The sequence below is a fragment of the Homo sapiens genome, chromosome 4 (genome assembly GCF_000001405.40).
Source record: "Homo sapiens chromosome 4, GRCh38.p14 Primary Assembly".
Classification (NCBI taxonomy): domain Eukaryota; kingdom Metazoa; phylum Chordata; class Mammalia; order Primates; family Hominidae; genus Homo; species Homo sapiens.
The window spans coordinates 86215518-86233430 of record NC_000004.12 but is presented as its reverse complement, the minus strand read 5'-3'; the positions used below and the strand labels follow the sequence as shown (position 1 = coordinate 86233430).

Sequence of the window (17913 nt, the reverse complement as noted above, 5' to 3'; positions counted from 1 at the left end):
GTGGCAGTCAGTCAGAGAGTTTATATTTTTCACTTGATTGTTTTTAAACTAGCTTTTCTCCATACTATGGTTTCTGATTATTTTTGTAAGTAGGCCTCACAGAGCCATCATTTATTCTGACGTCACTGAATACTTAGATTATGTAGATGGATTTCTGTGTAACCCAAACTAGATAAATGTATGTTTTTGATCTTTGGGTCTGTATTTTTGGTTCTTTGTCTATATTTGACTATAAGCAAAGAGAGTGGCTATGATTCTACTTTTTGCACCTTCTGTGATGCCAAGAGCTTTTTTGTTTCTGACATACGACCCTGGGCAAGACATCTAAACTCTTTGGATCTCATCTTCGAAATGGAAATAGTCACTGCTTCATATATTTTATCAAAAAGCTTGTATTACATGAAAACTCTTGGAACACCAAGAAGGTCTTGGAGGCTTGCAGACACAAGCAGTCGCCCCTTCCACCCTGCCTGGCCTGTCATGCAGTCTTCACTCCAGCACAGACCATGACATACCTCCATACCTTTCTTCATGCTCTTGCCCTTGACTCGTATGTTTTATTACCAACAACAAAGCATATAGAAGTTAAGAAAAATTAAATAGAAGAGGAAGAGAAAGGGAACTTAGATTTCATGTCTTACTAGGTATTCCCTGAGAGACATTCTTAAAGGATCTACAAGAGTGGGTCAGTGGTTTGATTGAGCTAAATGTTTGAATTTGGTTAAACATAAAAATACATACAGAAAAAATTGACTCTAGGCCGGGCGTGGTGGCTCACGCCTGTAATCCCAGCACTTTGGGAGGCCCAGGCAGGCGGATCACGAGGTCAGGAGATGAAGACCATCCTGGCTAAGATGGTGAAACCCTGTCTCTACTAAAAATACAAAAAATTAGCTGGGCGTGGTGGTGAGCACCTGTAGTCCCAGCTACTTGGGAGGCTGAGGCAGGAGAATGGCGTGAACCCAGGAGGCGGAGCTTGCAGTGAGCCGAGATGGTGCCACTGCACTCTAGCCTGGGCTACAGAGCAAGACTCCATTTCAAAAAAAAAAAAAAAATTGATTCTATTATACATTTTTGCAAAGATGTTTTAATGTCCCAGGGGAACAACTGTAACTTCCTAGCTAAATTTTTACCTTGGTGCTTGCATCTGCATAGAATCTAAACAAACTTAACAGGTCATTTTGCTCATGTTTATGGTATACACCAGGATCAGCAAACTATATGGGTCAAATTTGGTCTACCAGCTGTTTTTGTAAATAAAGTTTTATTGGAATACAGCCCATGCTCCTTTGTTTATGTATTGTCTCTTGCTGTTTTCATGCTACACTGGCACAGTTGAATAGCTGTGTTAGAAACCCATGGCTTTCAAAGTCTAAAATATTGACTATGTGACTTTTTACAGACAAGGTTTGGTGACCGCTGGTATAGACCAATTCCAGTTAAACTGAACCCATCTATGTTCTTCTGTAATATAAGGCTACTTGATTTATATATAGCCTAATGTCTAGGATTCTAAATTTCTAAGAATAGCCCTGGCTTCATGGGCATTTGGCTTAATGCTCTACTGTTGCCATGTTGGAATAATAATTGTTGAAAAGGGTCCTGCATTTTCATTTTACATAAGGCCCTGTGCATTATGTAGTTGGTCCTAAGAACATATATTTTTGCAACATTAAAGATCAAGATTTTCTTTAATCCAAATGTGAGGGAAAAATGAATTACTATCCCTATAACTGTACTTTTTTTTCTTTTTTCTTTTTTCTTTTTTTGAGACAGAGTCTCGCTCTGTCACCAGGTTGGAGTGCAGTGGCGCAATCTCAGCTCACTCCAACCTCTGCCTCCCAGGTTCAAGCGATTCTCCTGTCTCAGCCTCTCGAGTAGCTGGGACTACAGGTGCCCGCCACCATGCCCGGCTAATTTTCGTATTTTTTTTTTCTTTAGTAGGGACGGGGTTTCATCATGTTGGCCAGGATGGTCTTGATCTCTTGACCTCATGATCTGCCCTCCTCGACCTCCCAAAGTGCTGGGATTACAGGCATGAGCCACCGCGTCCAGCCCCTACAATTGTACTTCTATATAGGTTACCAACTTTGGCAAATAAAAATGCAGGATGCACAGTTAAAGGTGAATTTCAAATAAAAAACAAGCAATTTTTTAGTATAAGTATGACCCAAAGATTATATGTATTTTGTCTGTTAATTCTACTTCTACCCAACTGGTAAAAGCTCTTTAGAGGTAATAATAAAGAACTCATTTTAAATATCTACACTGCAGTTATAGGACATGCCACAGAAATTATTTTAATAACCAAGTAATTCATGAGATTAAAAATCCCCTCCTTGCATTTTCACTTTCTTGTTAGCGTTGGTCTTGGCTGAAGATTCTAATGCTTATCAATTCATATTTTCTGATAAAATGTTCAAATGGACCTAAAATTAGATATTCGTTCAGCATCCCTTTTCCAGTTATCCCCGGTCTAGATTTTTAGACCATTCTTCCCAGAGCTGTTAAATTGCCCCTCCTATCTAAGCAGATAAAAAAGGTTATGAATAAAACAAAAAGCAGACTGAGCAAGTATTTAAAAGGGCAGAGACTTTATAATTACTATAAAACTAGGTGATTAAATGTTGACCAGATGTTGTTATATGCTATTTTGAGGTTAAAAACATTGAAGTTGTAATATTTTGCTAAAACTTAAATTGCATAGAAATAAAGGGGAATAAATCAAGGGTAGTTTTAAAGAAATAATTTATAAATTAGTTCTATACTAAGGAAATTAATAAGTGAACTTGTATAAGTACAATTTCATTAGTATATAGGTAACATTAATTTGTATATATTTACTTAAGTATTAGGCTGATGAGTCATATAGATCAATAATTCCAGAAATTTATCCTCATGGTTTTTTCCATGTAAGCAGAATAGTCACAAAAATATATTTCTGAGGTAAAATTAGAAGAGATAGTCTATTTTTAAAATTTTTAAAATTAGTAGGTTATCAGGATATATGTAGGCATGTCATACTCTTTTAAACATTCCCTGAGCAAGGCGTATGCCAAACCTTTCTTTATGTGTTGTGTGCTGTTTTCTTTGAGTGATACAATTTAAAGTCATACGGTAATTCATACACTGACAGTTCATGTGCTTCATTTCCCTTTTAAAGGTGAAGTTAATAACCTTTAAAATGAAACACAGTACTCAATGAGAAATATTTTTTTAATCAATCAAATTGTATATATTTACTTTTCTAAAATCACTTAAAGATAAAAACGTTTGGGAAGTACCTTTTTTTCTAAGGCATGATTGATTATTTTCAGATCTGACAACTCAAAAGTGTTTATGAACATGTCATTATATTTCATTTTACTTTGAGACAAGGTCTCGCTCTGTTGCCCACGCTAGAGTGCAGTGGTGCAAACATGGCTCACAGCAGTCTCGACCTCATGGGCTCAAGCAATCCTCCTGCCTCAGCCTCCTGTGTAGCTGGAACCACAGGTGCATTCCAATGTACCTAGCTAATTTTTTGATTTTTTTTTTTGTAGAGACAGAGTCTCACTATGTTGCCCAGGCTGGTATTGAACTCCTGGGCTCAAGTAATCCTCTCTCCTCAGCTTCACAAAGTGCCGTGGTTATAGGCATGAGCCACCATGCCTTGCCTAAACATGTCATTTTTCCTTTGAATTTAGAAATACATATGCATGGATTTTTTTTTTCATAAAATAAAATCCTAAGTAGTTAGAGAGTAAAAAATAAGAAAGTTCCTATATATTTCACATTTTCAATCATGCATACAATGAAAAAAGCCAGTTGTTTTCCTGCATTTTTAGTTAACCATTAAGGATGTTAATTTCCTTCATAACACAGGCCATATTAGTTTATTCTACTATAAAGTGGATAGCTTTTAGATAGGGACAGGTACTAGAAGAAAGAGAGTCTGGATACTTGTAGGGTTTGTAAGTTATTTCCATGTGACTGAAACTTGATAAACATTTACTAATATAATAGGAATTCCTTTTTCAGGTGTAGGCATAATATAGATTCATCTTAATGACCCCACACATATTGCTGCCATATAATCTTTTCACAATGGCTACTTTATTATTTTATTATAACAAAATTTCAGCACATTGATAATATTTTAATGGTGTATAATTGATGTATTGGGGGTGTGGGCAGTAAAATATTTTAATAGTACATGATTGTTGTATTTGGGAATGTGGAAGTGTGAAAAAAATTAAACTTCATGTGGACCCTAGAATTGACTTTGCTCTTCCCATTGGTATTTAATTAGGATCTTTATGTTGAAACTTAACAAAATTTCAACAGAGTGTTGCTGGGCAACCTTTAGTTGCCTTGAAAACTCATAATGAAGGTTGAAAATTTCAATATATGAAGTATTTGTTTAAACTTTTCATTCTTACTTTCTCTGAAAGACGATACATTTAGAGACTTGTAGAACTATAAGTGAATGTTGCTATGTTTTGAACTATGCATAGTCTTGTTATTTAATGAAATTAGTGTAGTTGAAATATGAACTTAAACTATATTTTATAGTCATTGTTGCTCATGAAGGACTCAAAATAAGACATGAAGCTAGACTGAGAGAAATCATAGCTTACCCGGGAATCTGTCTTCATTCATTCAACAAATATTTATTTATTTAATGACTACTATGTAAAGTGCTGGGGATACAAACATGGATCAGATATTTCTTTCCCGAAGAAGTTCATTGTATGGTGGGTAACAGATATTTATAATTAAGACTTAGAAATAAGATACACTTATAAATATGACACAAAGGGTGATAGAATTATGCTTACAATATCTTGTGAACACCCTGGAGTGGCAATTTCCCAGTCTAGGTCTAGCAAGAGTGATCTGGCAAGGCTTCTGAGATGAATTTGTAACTTAACTGAGTTGTAAAATATAAAAATAAGTTAAAAAGTAGAAGTATATGGGAGAAGGATTTCAGATAGAGGAAGCTGCAGGAGAAAAGGGGAAGGAAAAAAGAACATGATATTGTGATACACGACATTTACTGTTTTTTCTGTGACCTTGATTCTCTGGCATCTCGGGCCTTGATCCTGGAGAGATTGCCCCTCCCAGAGCTAGCTAATTCCTAGAGATAGCAAATGACCCTCCTGCAAGTACACTTTTCATATACACACAAGCCAAACAATGCAGAGCCCATGCTCCTAACCATTTCCTTTATCAAACTCTCTTACACATCAACCTAATATTCTCCTGCCCTAAATCACCCCAGGACCAGGTATCAGACAACTAGGGACAGTTCCTATAGCCCAGAGTCCTGCAAAATTATTCAAGCTATCCAATCCTAAGCTTACTTAGTGTACCTACCCTGCCTTTCTCATTCCTTTTCAATAAATAGCCAACAAGGATTTGGGCCATGCTCTTTCGTCTCACCTCCTGACCTACCCTGGTCATTCCCCACATGGCCCTGCATGGTGTGCAGTGTCTACTGTTTCTAGGGATCTGTGAGTACGGACTTCTTCCTTCATGACAGTCATTTTTGTGTCAGCATGTCTTATATCTGATTAAAACAAACCCTAAGTACACTTTGAGAACAGACATCATAAGTAATTCAGGGTTAAAACAAAATGTGAGGTAAGGACAGGAAAGAAACAGGGATAGAGAGCCAGGCAGAGGTCAGATTGCACAGGACAAAGAAACTTGACCTTAAATAATGTGGGCAGATCCATATTAATATTGTTTTAGGCTACATATTTTTTTGGTCCCTGTGTGAGTAATGCCATTATTTTGAGTATCTCTGAAGAGTTTTAGTTTGGTCATACATAATCTCCAAATCTCCTATCTTGTAATTGACGTTGCTGACAGGTGAGAAAGTATTCTTAGAGACCGGAGAATAGTACCATCTATGCGTCTTTTTTCTTTTCTTTTTCTTTTCTTTCTTTTTTTTTTTTTTTAGAGGGAGTCTCGCTCTGTCGCCCAGGCTGGAGTGCAGTTGCGCCATCTCAGCTCACTGCAAGCTCCACCTCCCGGGTTCACGCCATTCTCCTGCCTCAGCCTCCCGAGTAGCTGGGACCACAGGCACCCACCACCAAGCCCGGCTAGTTTTTTGTATTTTTAGTGGAGACGGGATTTCACCGTGTTAGCCAGGATGGTCTCGATCTCCTGACCTCGTGATCTGCCTGCCTCGGCCTCCCAAAGTGTTGGGATTATAGGCATGAGCCACCCCACCCGGCCGTGTCTTTTTTCTAATCATCTTTATATTCTGCAAAGTAGATATTTACACTTTTGTAACCTCTAGGAGAACAAATAAGTGGGGAGTAGTGTCAGAGAACCCTTCTTATTTCTGATTCATCAAGGGCTCTGTGTTACCATGACTGACAAGACAAATTGTGACATTCACAATATGTTATTATTGGACATAAAACCATATTTTTTCAAAAAATCAGGAAAAGCAATTCATCAAATCCAATGAAAATATGTTACCAAGTGAAGCTAGATAAATTAGATTTGCATTGCTTTAGGAGTATACATGTCTCACATAGAGGACCTATAATCATTTGAAATGATATTGGCAAATGCTCAGGGACAGCTATGTCAGATTCTTCAGGAATTCATTCTCACTATGGAAATGGCTTTCAGACCTGCTTGTAATATAGAACATAGAATGCTATAGTACGCTGTCCTAACATGGAATAGAAATGAAATTCCAGGCACATCTGTCGTTTCTTATTTTCTGGAACTCTCTTCAAAATTCTTGAGGAGAAATTAAGGTGATGACTTCCTCTTGGAATTTTGCATTGTTGGGTAAATTACCTAGAAACTGATGAAAATAATATGCAATTTAAAATGTCCAATTAAAATCCCTTAGAAGTAAAATATATTCAAGGTTTAATGCTGGTTACTGTACTAACTTATGTGCAACAAAGGAATTTTGAAATATCTTTAAACTCTGGCATAATGTGGTATGATACTGCCCACTGAAATTAGTGATCTTTTAACCTGCCACTGGTAATATGCTAAGTTTTTCCTCTATTTTTATATGTCCCATTGTATTTAGCATCATCTAAGGATTTTAAAATGCACTATGAACTTGAAATACAACTTTCCACTTGAAACCGGGTAAAGTCTGGCTTTAAATGGAGAGTAAGCCTAGCCTATTTAGATACCCAAGTGACAGTTCAGAAGCTTGTGGCTTAGTTGTCCTGTGAGCCCCTCACACACTTAGATTTATGTTCTATAAAATCATGCCTGCCAGGCTTGCTTCATTGAGAACCAAGTGTGTCAGCAGATGCTGAAAGCCAGAAATCCCTATGCAAGGAAAAGCATTTCTAACTTTTTAAAAATGAAACTCAGTATTTGATTAGTGTATATGAAGACCATTTGTATTATCCTATATGCTGTCATAATCAAAAGGTTTTTCTGAATATATTGTTTCAGAAAACTGTTGTTAAACATCCCTGTCTATATCTACTTTCTTTTTCTAAATGTATATGAATGTGCATGTCCATGTCCATGTCTATATGTATACATATATCTAAATCTACATATCTATTAGGGGAGATAGGCTTAGAAAACATTTATGGAGAATGTATTGGAGAGAGAGTTAATATCAAAGCTTGTGTCAGTGGGCACCAATAGTGCACTGCCTTTTGGAAATATTCCCTATTACTCTTAAATGCATCTAGGTAATTAATATGTTGATGTTTTATTAGTACCTATTGAGCATAAAGCTTTTAAAATAGCAATAAGTGATATATTCACTCTCTCGTTATGTTACCGATAAAATATGGAAAATGTGTTGGGGGGCGGGTCCCAAAGACCACCACTGAGTGTGATGAGTTGCTAAGAGGACTCAGAGAACTCAAAATATAGAGTTACATTCGCAGTTAGGATTTATTATAGTGAAAGGCTGCGAAGTGAATTAGCAAAAGAAAATGGCCCATGAGGTGAAATTCAAAGGGAACCACACACAAGCTTTCAGGAGTCTTCTCTCGGTAGAGTCACACAGGACTTGCCCATTTCCTACAGCAACAGATTGTGACTACATGTCTACCAGGAAGGCTCACTGAAAACTACAGCCCAAGGATTTATTGGTGGCTAGTCATGTAGGCACCCTGTGTCTGGGATGTACAAAAATTTGAGACTTCCAGGAGGAAAGCAGGTATTCAGCATAAACCACATTGTTAATACAAACAGTTATGGCCCTCTCATCAGTCCTGACAATGGTAGAAACCCTCTCCACCTCCAAGTTTCTATACTCCAGCTCAGGGCCAAACTTCCAAGCACGGATTTCTAGGGATAACAGCTTCAGGCTGCTGTTAACTCTTTTCTGCACAGAAAACGAATATATTGACCTATTTGGATTCTTGCATGAGTATTAACATTATTTTTTCCCCTAGGGTATTAACTTACTTTAGCAGTTAAATTTACACACTAATTGAGAACAGTTAACTTCAAGGTTCCTTTGGGCCAACTAAACATCTGCTGTCTATAAATTTTAGATTACTGCAAAATAAATAAGATTTAATTTTCATTGCAATAGAGAATTGTATTTAAGATGTTATTTCTGTAAATGAATAGTAAGGCTAGTCTCATTCATCTTGGATAATATTTTTATACTTCCATTTCAGAAGATGAGATTCTCTGACCTTATTTTCTAATTTTGAGGGAAAACACAAACTCAGATTTATCAAATCTTGTGCATAGATTATGTTATCTTAAATTTGGGGAGCAAAGAAAGGGAAGGTATACATATGCTTGTGAATTAAATCAATAGCATTGATATTGGGTTATTGGTGTTTGATCGTCAATATATCTACCTTCTTTAATTCATTCCTCATACTGACCCGGTGTAATCATTAAAACACAAATCTGATAAAGTCATGCTTACCCCGAAGCTCTTCAATGGTTGCTCTGATTTTCAGTCTCTCACATTCTCTATGCTTCCTCTGCCACTGTGTCTTTGCTAGTCCCTCTACCTGGAACTCTGTTCCCTTCCTTTTTTACCTAGTGCACTTCTACTCATTCTTAAGCTTTCAGTTAATATATCACTTCCTTAATATTTCTGACTGTCTAGGACTGATTCCATTAGAACTGATAGGTTCATATAACATATTAACATACTTTTCTTCCCCGGCATTTGTCACAGTTGAAAATTTACATTTCTTAAAATGGCATTGATAATATCTGTCTTTCCCATTAGACTGACAACTCCTCTGTATTCTTAGTGTCTAGCAGAATTCCAGGCCCATAGTATGCATTAAATAAATATTTTTTACATGAAAACATTGAAACAGTTTCATTTGTTCAGTGCACTCAGATCATTAGAACTGAGGTAGGGTTCCAATTCCTACATTTGATATTTCGGATCATAAAGAACGGCAACTAAGCTCAAGAAAGGTTTACATAAAAACTAGGGTATGTCTAAGTCACCCTCCAGAGGAAGGATGGACATCTCTCCCACAAATTTGGTTCAGGTGTCAAGATTGATGATGCCACACATGCCACAAGAGGGTATGAAAGGCACATTATTTACATAATGAGACTTTCTGGGGAGAGCAGGGCATGTTTCTAAGCAGGTCCAAGACTGCCATGAAAAGCAGGGAAAAGAGACTCGCTTGGGATTTTACTGTGGTTAGGGGGTTGGGGCAAAGTGAGAATTCTTTTATGTATTGGCCAGGGCTTGTGTGATTTGAACTTCCTGTTGCCACCAGAGGAGGGAGCATCTGGGCTTTCTTATTAGTTTGCCCAGATGTGGTGCAGAGGAAGAAGAGGGAGGGGTGAGATTTGGGGATAGGGGAGGCTACTGCCTCCTGCAGGTGGAAATGGCCCGAGGTTCCGGGTTTGTCTTTGTAGCAAGGAGGCCTCAGTGGAAGTGCTGAGCTTTCCAGGTGCTGTTTTCATGACCCAAAGCATAATGTGCAAGTGGGTATGTGGAGTTGAGGGCTCAGGCCCTGTGAGAGCCTCCATTCTCAGGAGAGCACAGAATGCAGCCAGCAATGCTGTTCTAATGGTGTGTAGTATGGTGCCGAACAGGACAATGTTCACAGGACTCATCACAGAGTCCATACGCAAGTTATGGCCATTATAGGTGATCCAGATGTTCCAGGAGACATGAGAGGAGGTTTCTAAAATGAAGAAGTCTTGGGGGAGGGAGGCACTAGGGTGAATGCCAGCTGTACTGCAAATTTGGGCAGATTCTAGAGGCTTCTGTTGTAAAAGGGGGCCTCATTAAAGGGGAGCTGATATGTAACACCCTAAATGGTAAAATTTAAAATTTGGTAAAAAGTAAGTTTAACATGATAAAAAGTAAAATTTGTAATGCAGAATATGTTGCCTCCAGAATCCACAAGGCTTAAAAGATGTTGAGCATGTGGGTATTGAGGGTCAATGGCTGTTTCTTGACAGTGTCAGGGATAGAGTGATTCTTGACTTGCTAAATAATTTTCAGGAATTTAACCAAGGTGATGAGGCCTTGTACTGTGTGGGGGACAATGGCACATTTTTTCTTTGTGAACTTATTTGTGAATGTTTGCATGTACTGAATAAGTGTGTGAACTGACTCTCCTTAGAGGAAGATGTCATCAGCATGATGAAATTCCTCTGCTCCTGGAGAAGGTTGGATGAAGTTTAGAAGTTGCCTTCAAACATTGTGTGTAAAAGTCTATTAGGGGGTGCATAGATCTTCTGGAGGCCTGGAGGACCAGTCAAGAACAAAATGGACTTCCACTTCAGTAGGAAGAGGCTGGACATTGCTTTCCACCTATTTTGGGATTCTTCACAAAGACAAAGGTTTATTTTTATTTTTAACTGGTCTGCAAAGGCTATAAATACAAGCTGTACTGTATTATGAAGTCTTAGTCTTTGCTTGGGCACCATGCAGTTGCAACAGAGACCTCAGCTGATCCCATGGGTATCTGTGAAGTTGCAGTGACCCTAAGGCGATGCCCCAAGTTAAGGCAAAGTGTGGAGGTGGTGTGAAGGCTTTGTACCTTGCATTGCACAGTCACTGGGGAAGAGGAGTAACCTTGGGCCCAGAAGCTCCTTTTAGCAGAGGGCCATTTTTAGGAAACGGCTCAGCTGTGTGCTGTCAGTAAGCAAAACTCCTGGCATTTGGATAAATGAGTGCCTTAGTTTAGAAGAGAGGATTTGAGTGTTGTATAGCATCATCCTCTATAAATGAAGAATATATGTATTAGTCTGTTTTTTCACTGCTATAAAGAAATACCTGAGACTGGGTAATTAATAAAGAAAAGAGGTTTAATTGGCTCACAGTTTCCCAGGCTGTACAGAAAGCATGATGCTGGCATCTGTGTAGCTTCTGGGGAGGCCTCAGGAAACTTCCAGTCATGGCAGAAGGTGAAGGGGAAGCTGGCATGTCTTACATGTCTGGAAGACGAGCAAGAGAGTGAGGGGCAGATGCTACACACTTTGAAAGAACCAGATCTCAAGGAGGAGCAAGAGAGAGAGGGGGAGGTTCTATGTACTTTTAAACAATTAGATCTCACAAAAAGTCACTCAGTAGCACAAGAACAGTGCTGAGGGGATGGTGCTAACCCATTCATGAGAATTCCACCCCCATGTTCCAATCACCTCCCACCAAGTCCCACCTCCAACACTAGGGATTACAATTGAACATGATATGCTGTGCTCAGTGGCTTACGCTTGTAAGCACTTTGGGAAGCCGAGGTGGGTGGGTCCCTTGAACCCAAGAGTTCGAGACCAGCCTGGGAAACATGGCAAAACCTGTCTCTACAAAAACAAACAAACAAACAAACAAACAAAAATCAGCCAGGTGTGGTGGTGTGCATCTCTAGTCCCAGCCACTAAGGAGGCTGAGGTGGGAGAATCGCTTGAGTCTGGGAGGTCGAGCCTGCAGTGACCTGTGATCACCCCACTGAACTCCTGCCTGGGCAGCCAGGGAGACAGAGCCAGACCCTGTTTTTATAAAAAAAAAAAACCAAAAATATACTTGAATATGCAATTTGGGTGGGGACACAGATCCAAACCATATCAATGTGCCTCCTTTATTGTCTATAAATATGCTTGGTTACTGCAATTTCTACACTGCCTTGTTTGCTGCATAAGATAAATTAGCAGAGTAGCCATCCGATGTGGCTTTTTCCTCCCACATTTTGAATTACTCCTGTCAAGCCAGTGACCTGTAAAAGCCAATGGCATGCTGGGTGGCATTGTTCTTGAGGTGATTGCTCAGGATTTATACCTCCTCACTTCTGTTTAGTTTGGTCCTAGCCTGTTATCACTTCTCCATTTTGTCTTTCTAGCTTCACACTGAATTTTAATTTCTAAACCTCTCCTTGGCTGTCTGTCTGTCCCTGACTGATGGGCACTTCCCAGCCGCCTTCTATTCGGGAGACTGTGGGCTAGCTCAGTGGACTAGCCTAAGTGACAATTTAAGCTAGGGAAAAGGGAGAACGTACCAAAAGATGTTCATTGGAGAGGAAAATGATACAGAAAATAAAAATAATAATTCTCTGTCATTAGTCAAAACATTCTTTCAAAAGCCCCTTATGTTGTTCGACAATTGAGACATAACTGAATCTCCTGAACATATTTAAAGGTTATAGAGAGCCTAGAGTTTGGGACAGAAATAAATGAGATAAAATAAACAAGAGACTTTTGCCCTTTGCCTTGATCCAAATGCTAAAATGCTAGTTAGAAACGCCATACAAATATATTAGGCTGTACGTCATTAGAAGAAACCTAAAATATTATTGTGTTTACTGTTAAAAATTACTTGTAAAATTTTGAACTTGCTTTTATAACTCTAAACACAAGTGAAGTTCAATGTAAAAATATACATTTCCTTCTAAATATCAGCCAGTTAATCATATATGTATATAAATGTGGAAAATATGCTTCTCTCTCTTTTTATTTAAATTCTTAAATTCTTCAGGACTAAATAAAATTTAAGGAAGAGCTGCTTATGGCATCATTGCCCCTACTTTCCTGCCTCCATCCAATCTCCATATTATTCCTACACTAGTCTTATGTTTTCCAACATTACAGATTACTCAATTCACAATATGCAGAGGTCAAATTAGTATATTGTCAACCTCATTTTTTTTTTGTTTTGTTTTGTTTTTACTCTGGATGACGCATTTAGCATGAGTAACTCTCATAAGTGATTAATGATGGCTCCATACAGGCCAGTCATTTAATGCTTTATTTGGACTTTATTTTTGTTGTTGTGACATTTCAACCAATCATAAAATGTCACAGATGAAATTAAAGCAAACTAAGATTATATAGCTTAACATTTTATTTAGTTTTGGGCCATATTAAGATGCCTTTGTTTATACAGTTTTCTCCTACAATGAGTTTTATAATTGATATCTTAAAATAGTAAATGTAACTCAATGTATCATAACTTACTTAAATTGGATGTGGATAAAATGTGTAAACATACGCTTGGCAAAAGTGTGTGCAGTTTTATGTTGTAAGATTAAGTAATATATTGTAATTCTTATACACATTTCTAGAAAAGAAAATATTAAAGCAAATAATTTATTATACAAAGCACTTATCTGTAGACGGTTTTCAATAGATGGTTGTTCTCTTCTTACCAGCCCATAACTATAACTTGCTTTGGTTTATGTTAACAGATATTAAAGCAACTTGAATGTAAGAATATTGATATTATACCTGAAAAATATAGAATATTTTTCTTATAAAAGACTGAATTATTTTAAAGTCTTCAAAGTTGTCTACTAATTTATGTTACTGTCATTAAATAATGACCTTATCATTAAATAAATGACCTTACTCTAAGAGGTTAAGTGTTACTTGACAGCCTTTTTAATTATTTCAAAACAATAAGAGATATATTTCCATATTTCCAGAAATAATGTTATTCTTATAAGAAGTATTATTTTAAAATATCCATTGCAAGTAAGCTAAAAGAATAAATTAAGAAAACATTGACATTGTGAGAATTTATGGCTTATTCTGCTTGAAGCATTGGATTGTGATTTGAGTTTACTAGGAAAATATCCCAAATATCCTCCTTTTCTTCCTTTATTTTACATAGTACTGGCCAATTAGAAAAACCAAACAGAAATCTTTATGCTGCTAAGTGAAATGAGTGTTTGTACTTGTGACTCAAGTTTGTAGTAATGTGCTTTACTTTGGAATTTAAGAGTTTGGTTGTGCAAGAGAGGATGTGTGCCAATTATGCCTGCAGAAAGGGGCAAGTCTGAGAAATCTGCCCCCAATACCATGGAAATCTCTCTCTCTCTCTCTGTCTCTCTCAATCTCTTTTTGGGAAAAAAGAAAGACAAAGAAAACTATGGAGACAAAGAGAAAGGGTTTAGGTTTGCATGTGTGCTCCTGAAGTCTATCAATAGAAACAGGAACGTGGGGAAGTCGGAGAGATGTATGGATAAAAGGAAGAAAGGTAAACATTATGTCTGGGGCTTTTGTGTCATGATGAATTCCTCCCTACAAGAAGAGTTGGCTGGAAGCCCTGGGTAAAGCCGCTTCCATTTCCAGCCTCCTTTTCACTTATCTCTACTATTGAGTTTATGGTTAATTATTTTTACAAATCATTTCCCTCTTGCCCTCTTCCCTACAAATCAGTTGCTAAGTGACTGGGAGATAGAGTGACCTCCGAATTTATTCTGCTCATTATATCGTTAGATTTTTCCATATCACTTAAGGGATGGATTTGTTCATGTAAGTTCAGCACCTCTCCAGGATTCAAGATGACATTTCACCTAATTAATAGCCCCTATTGGCCTAGTTATTTTGAGGATGTGTAATTAAAGCAATGATACTACTTGTTCAGAGGAATTAAGATTTTATTTTGCCTTTTAAATTAATTGCCCAAAGTGTTTTTTTTTTTTTTTTTTTGCTTAAGTCTTATTATTATGCCCATATGTGTTATGATAAACATATTTTGAAAGGCCATCCTTACAAAAATTTAAAATGTTGAACTTTTAAGATTTAAAAATAAGCCTAGGCCAGGCGCGGTGGCTCACACCTGTAATCCCAGCACTTTGGGAGGCCAAGGCGTGCGGATCACCATCCTGGCTAACACAGTGAAACCCTGTCTCTACTAAAAATAGAAAAAATTAGGCGGGCGTGGTGGCGGGCGCCTGTAGTCCCAGCCACTCGGGAGGCTGAGGAGGCAGAGGTTACAGTGAGCTGAGATGGCGCCACTGCACTCCAGCCTAGGTGACAGCGTGAGACTCCGTCTCAAAATAAATAAATAAATAATAAGCCTATATATATGTACAATATTTTAATCTAATGGGAATTTCTTAAAGGCACTAATTTTGGCCTTTTATTTTTGAGTTGTTTATTTTTGTTCACAAAGTCCTCAGTATAGTGCCTCACTCAGAATAGATACTGTTAAATATTTATAGAATTATTCATTGAATCAGTGTGATGATAATTGGAATAAACTTTCTTTTAAAAATGTTTAATATTAAACATGACTATACATATAAATAATTCTACTTCTCTTTATAAGTAATTCTAAATAAAAATCAGAATGATTTTGTGGACAACATTCCATTGCTATTTTTAATTTGAGGTTTGCAGTCAATATGTATTTATCTTCTGTGATGTGAACTGTTATTTACTGATCTATCAAAATTATATATATAAGCATATATATAGCATTTACCATATATGAGATAATGTATTTTATGCTTTACAAATAGGTATCTTATTAATGAGGAATCATTAAGGAAAAAAATACCATCTTTTCTTTCCAGTAACTATTTAGAAAAAAAGACCATGTATAATTCACATGTGTACATATACAAACCTAGCAATGATTAAAGATGTGGAGAATACAAGGACGTTACATGCTGAGTATTCTGTGTGTCGGATGATGGCTGTGGTGATGGTATATAGGGTTTCTTGCAGTAACCAAGGAGCTGAGTTGTATGCCAGTTAATAGGTATAATGACAAAATGCATTGAGAAATGTTGAAGGAAAAGATATAACTAGGCAAAAAATAACAGTTTGGATACTTCACCTGTGTAAATGTTTTTTGTGATTGTTAGTGAAACCTGAATTGGTAGTATCTGTTGAACCAATTTAAGAATATTTTATTAATTTTACAAATTATAAGGATGACAGAAAAAATCTTATTTCTCTATATTAATACAATTCTGTATAGAATGTTTTAGAAAAATAAGTGAAATACTTGTGTCTAGGTTCAGGCTCCAAAATACATGAATTTTAGGAAGAACTAGGGGAGAAAATGTCAATTCCTAAGAGGCAATTTTTAAGATGTTTCAAGTGTTTGCTGGCCAAATTTTGGTGAGAAATGTAATGTGTGTTTAATGAATAGCATTTGGGCATTTAGATCTGACTCCTTATTGCCTCATGGATGAGATGTATAAATTTTGAAAGTTTCCTAACCATTTACCATTTAGACCTCTGGTTTCTCTATGAAAATAAGTTGCTTATGTGTTTACTATGTTTTCTTTTAGTTCAAAATACCTGAATCTGTTATTCTTTCACGTGCTGTAATAATATTTCACCTTATTAAAAATATGCATTTTTCATTATGAAACAAATATACATAAAAGTAGAGTTATTAATGTGCATATTTCTATCTATATTTTCTAAAACTATATTTGTAACTATATTTGTTTTAAAAGATTGGGGACATATTGTAATACTCTTTTGTTACCAATTTTTTCCATTTTACAATATATTATGAACATGTATCTGTGTCATAATTTATAAATAGCTAAGTGGAATTATGTTCTAACAATAATTACTTCATCATTTTCTTTTTATTGAACATTTAGTGTTTCTATTATTTTATTATAAATAATGCTGTGGTAAACATTATTAGGGATTAATCTTATGGATTAAAATATAGATATTTGATTACTTCTTTAGTAGAAGTTCTTAGGTATGGCATTGCTATTTAAATCTTAAATACATTGTTTTTCTTTCAACTTTTTCTGTTATGGCAAAATACACAGAACATAAAATTTGCCATCTTCACCATTTTTAATTGTACAATTGAGTAGTGTTAAGTACATTGATCATGTGCAACTATCACCAACAGTAGCATGTCGGAATTTCCTTCCTTTTTAAGGGTGAATACTTTTCTATTGTGTGTATATATGTGGCTATATATATATATATATATATATGCTATATATATATGTGTGTGTGCTATATATATATATATAGCACATTTTGCTAATCTGTTCATTCCTGGATGGACATTTGAATTGCTTTCATGTTTTAGCTAGTGTGAATAATACTGCTATGAAGACAGGTGTACAAATATCTTTTTGAGACCCTGCTTTCAATTCTTTTGGGCATATAACCAGGCATGGGATTGCTGGATCACATGGTAATTCTATTTTTCATTTTTTAAGGTACTGCTGTGCTGTTTTCCAGGGTGGCTGTACTAATTTTCATTTTCACCAATAGGGCACAAGGGTTCATATCTCTCCACATTCTCAACAACGCTTGTTATTTTCTGTAGTTTTGATTGTTTGGTTTTTAATTTTTTTTGAAATAATAGCCATCCCAATGGATGTGAGATGGTAACTTGAATACTTGAATAGTTTTTCTTTTTGAGATGGAGTCTCAATCTGTCGCCCAGGCTGGAGTGCAGTGGCACAATCTCGGCTCACTGCAACCTCCGCCTCCCGGGTTCAAGCGATTCTCCTGCCCCAGCCTCCTGAGTAGCTGGGACTACAGGTGAGCACCACAACGCCCGGCTAATTTTTTGTATTTTTAGTAGAGACGGGGTTTCACCATGTTGGCCATGATGATCTTGATCTCCTAACCTCGTGATCCATCTGCCTTGGTCTCCCAAAAGTGCTGGGATTACAGGCATGAGCCACTGTGCCCTGCCAACTTGAATATTTTTTAAAAAAATTATTTAGTGTTAGTTTCTACGTATTTTGGATTTGAATT

General features: G+C 36.8%; 1 protein-coding gene and 1 long non-coding RNA gene across 15 annotated transcripts in view; one reads left to right on the top strand and one right to left on the bottom strand.

Annotated features, from left to right (window-relative positions):
* Positions 1-17913, top strand: part of MAPK10 (mitogen-activated protein kinase 10) — a 583670-nt gene that overhangs the window by 360644 nt on the left and 205113 nt on the right. The window lies entirely within an intron of this gene.
* The window catches only part of MAPK10-AS1 (MAPK10 antisense RNA 1), a 100121-nt gene continuing 95712 nt past the window's right edge, over positions 13505-17913 (bottom strand). The window contains exon 4 of the long non-coding RNA NR_110879.1: positions 13505-13656. This is a non-coding gene — a long non-coding RNA (MAPK10 antisense RNA 1). The remainder of the gene's footprint in view (positions 13657-17913) is intronic.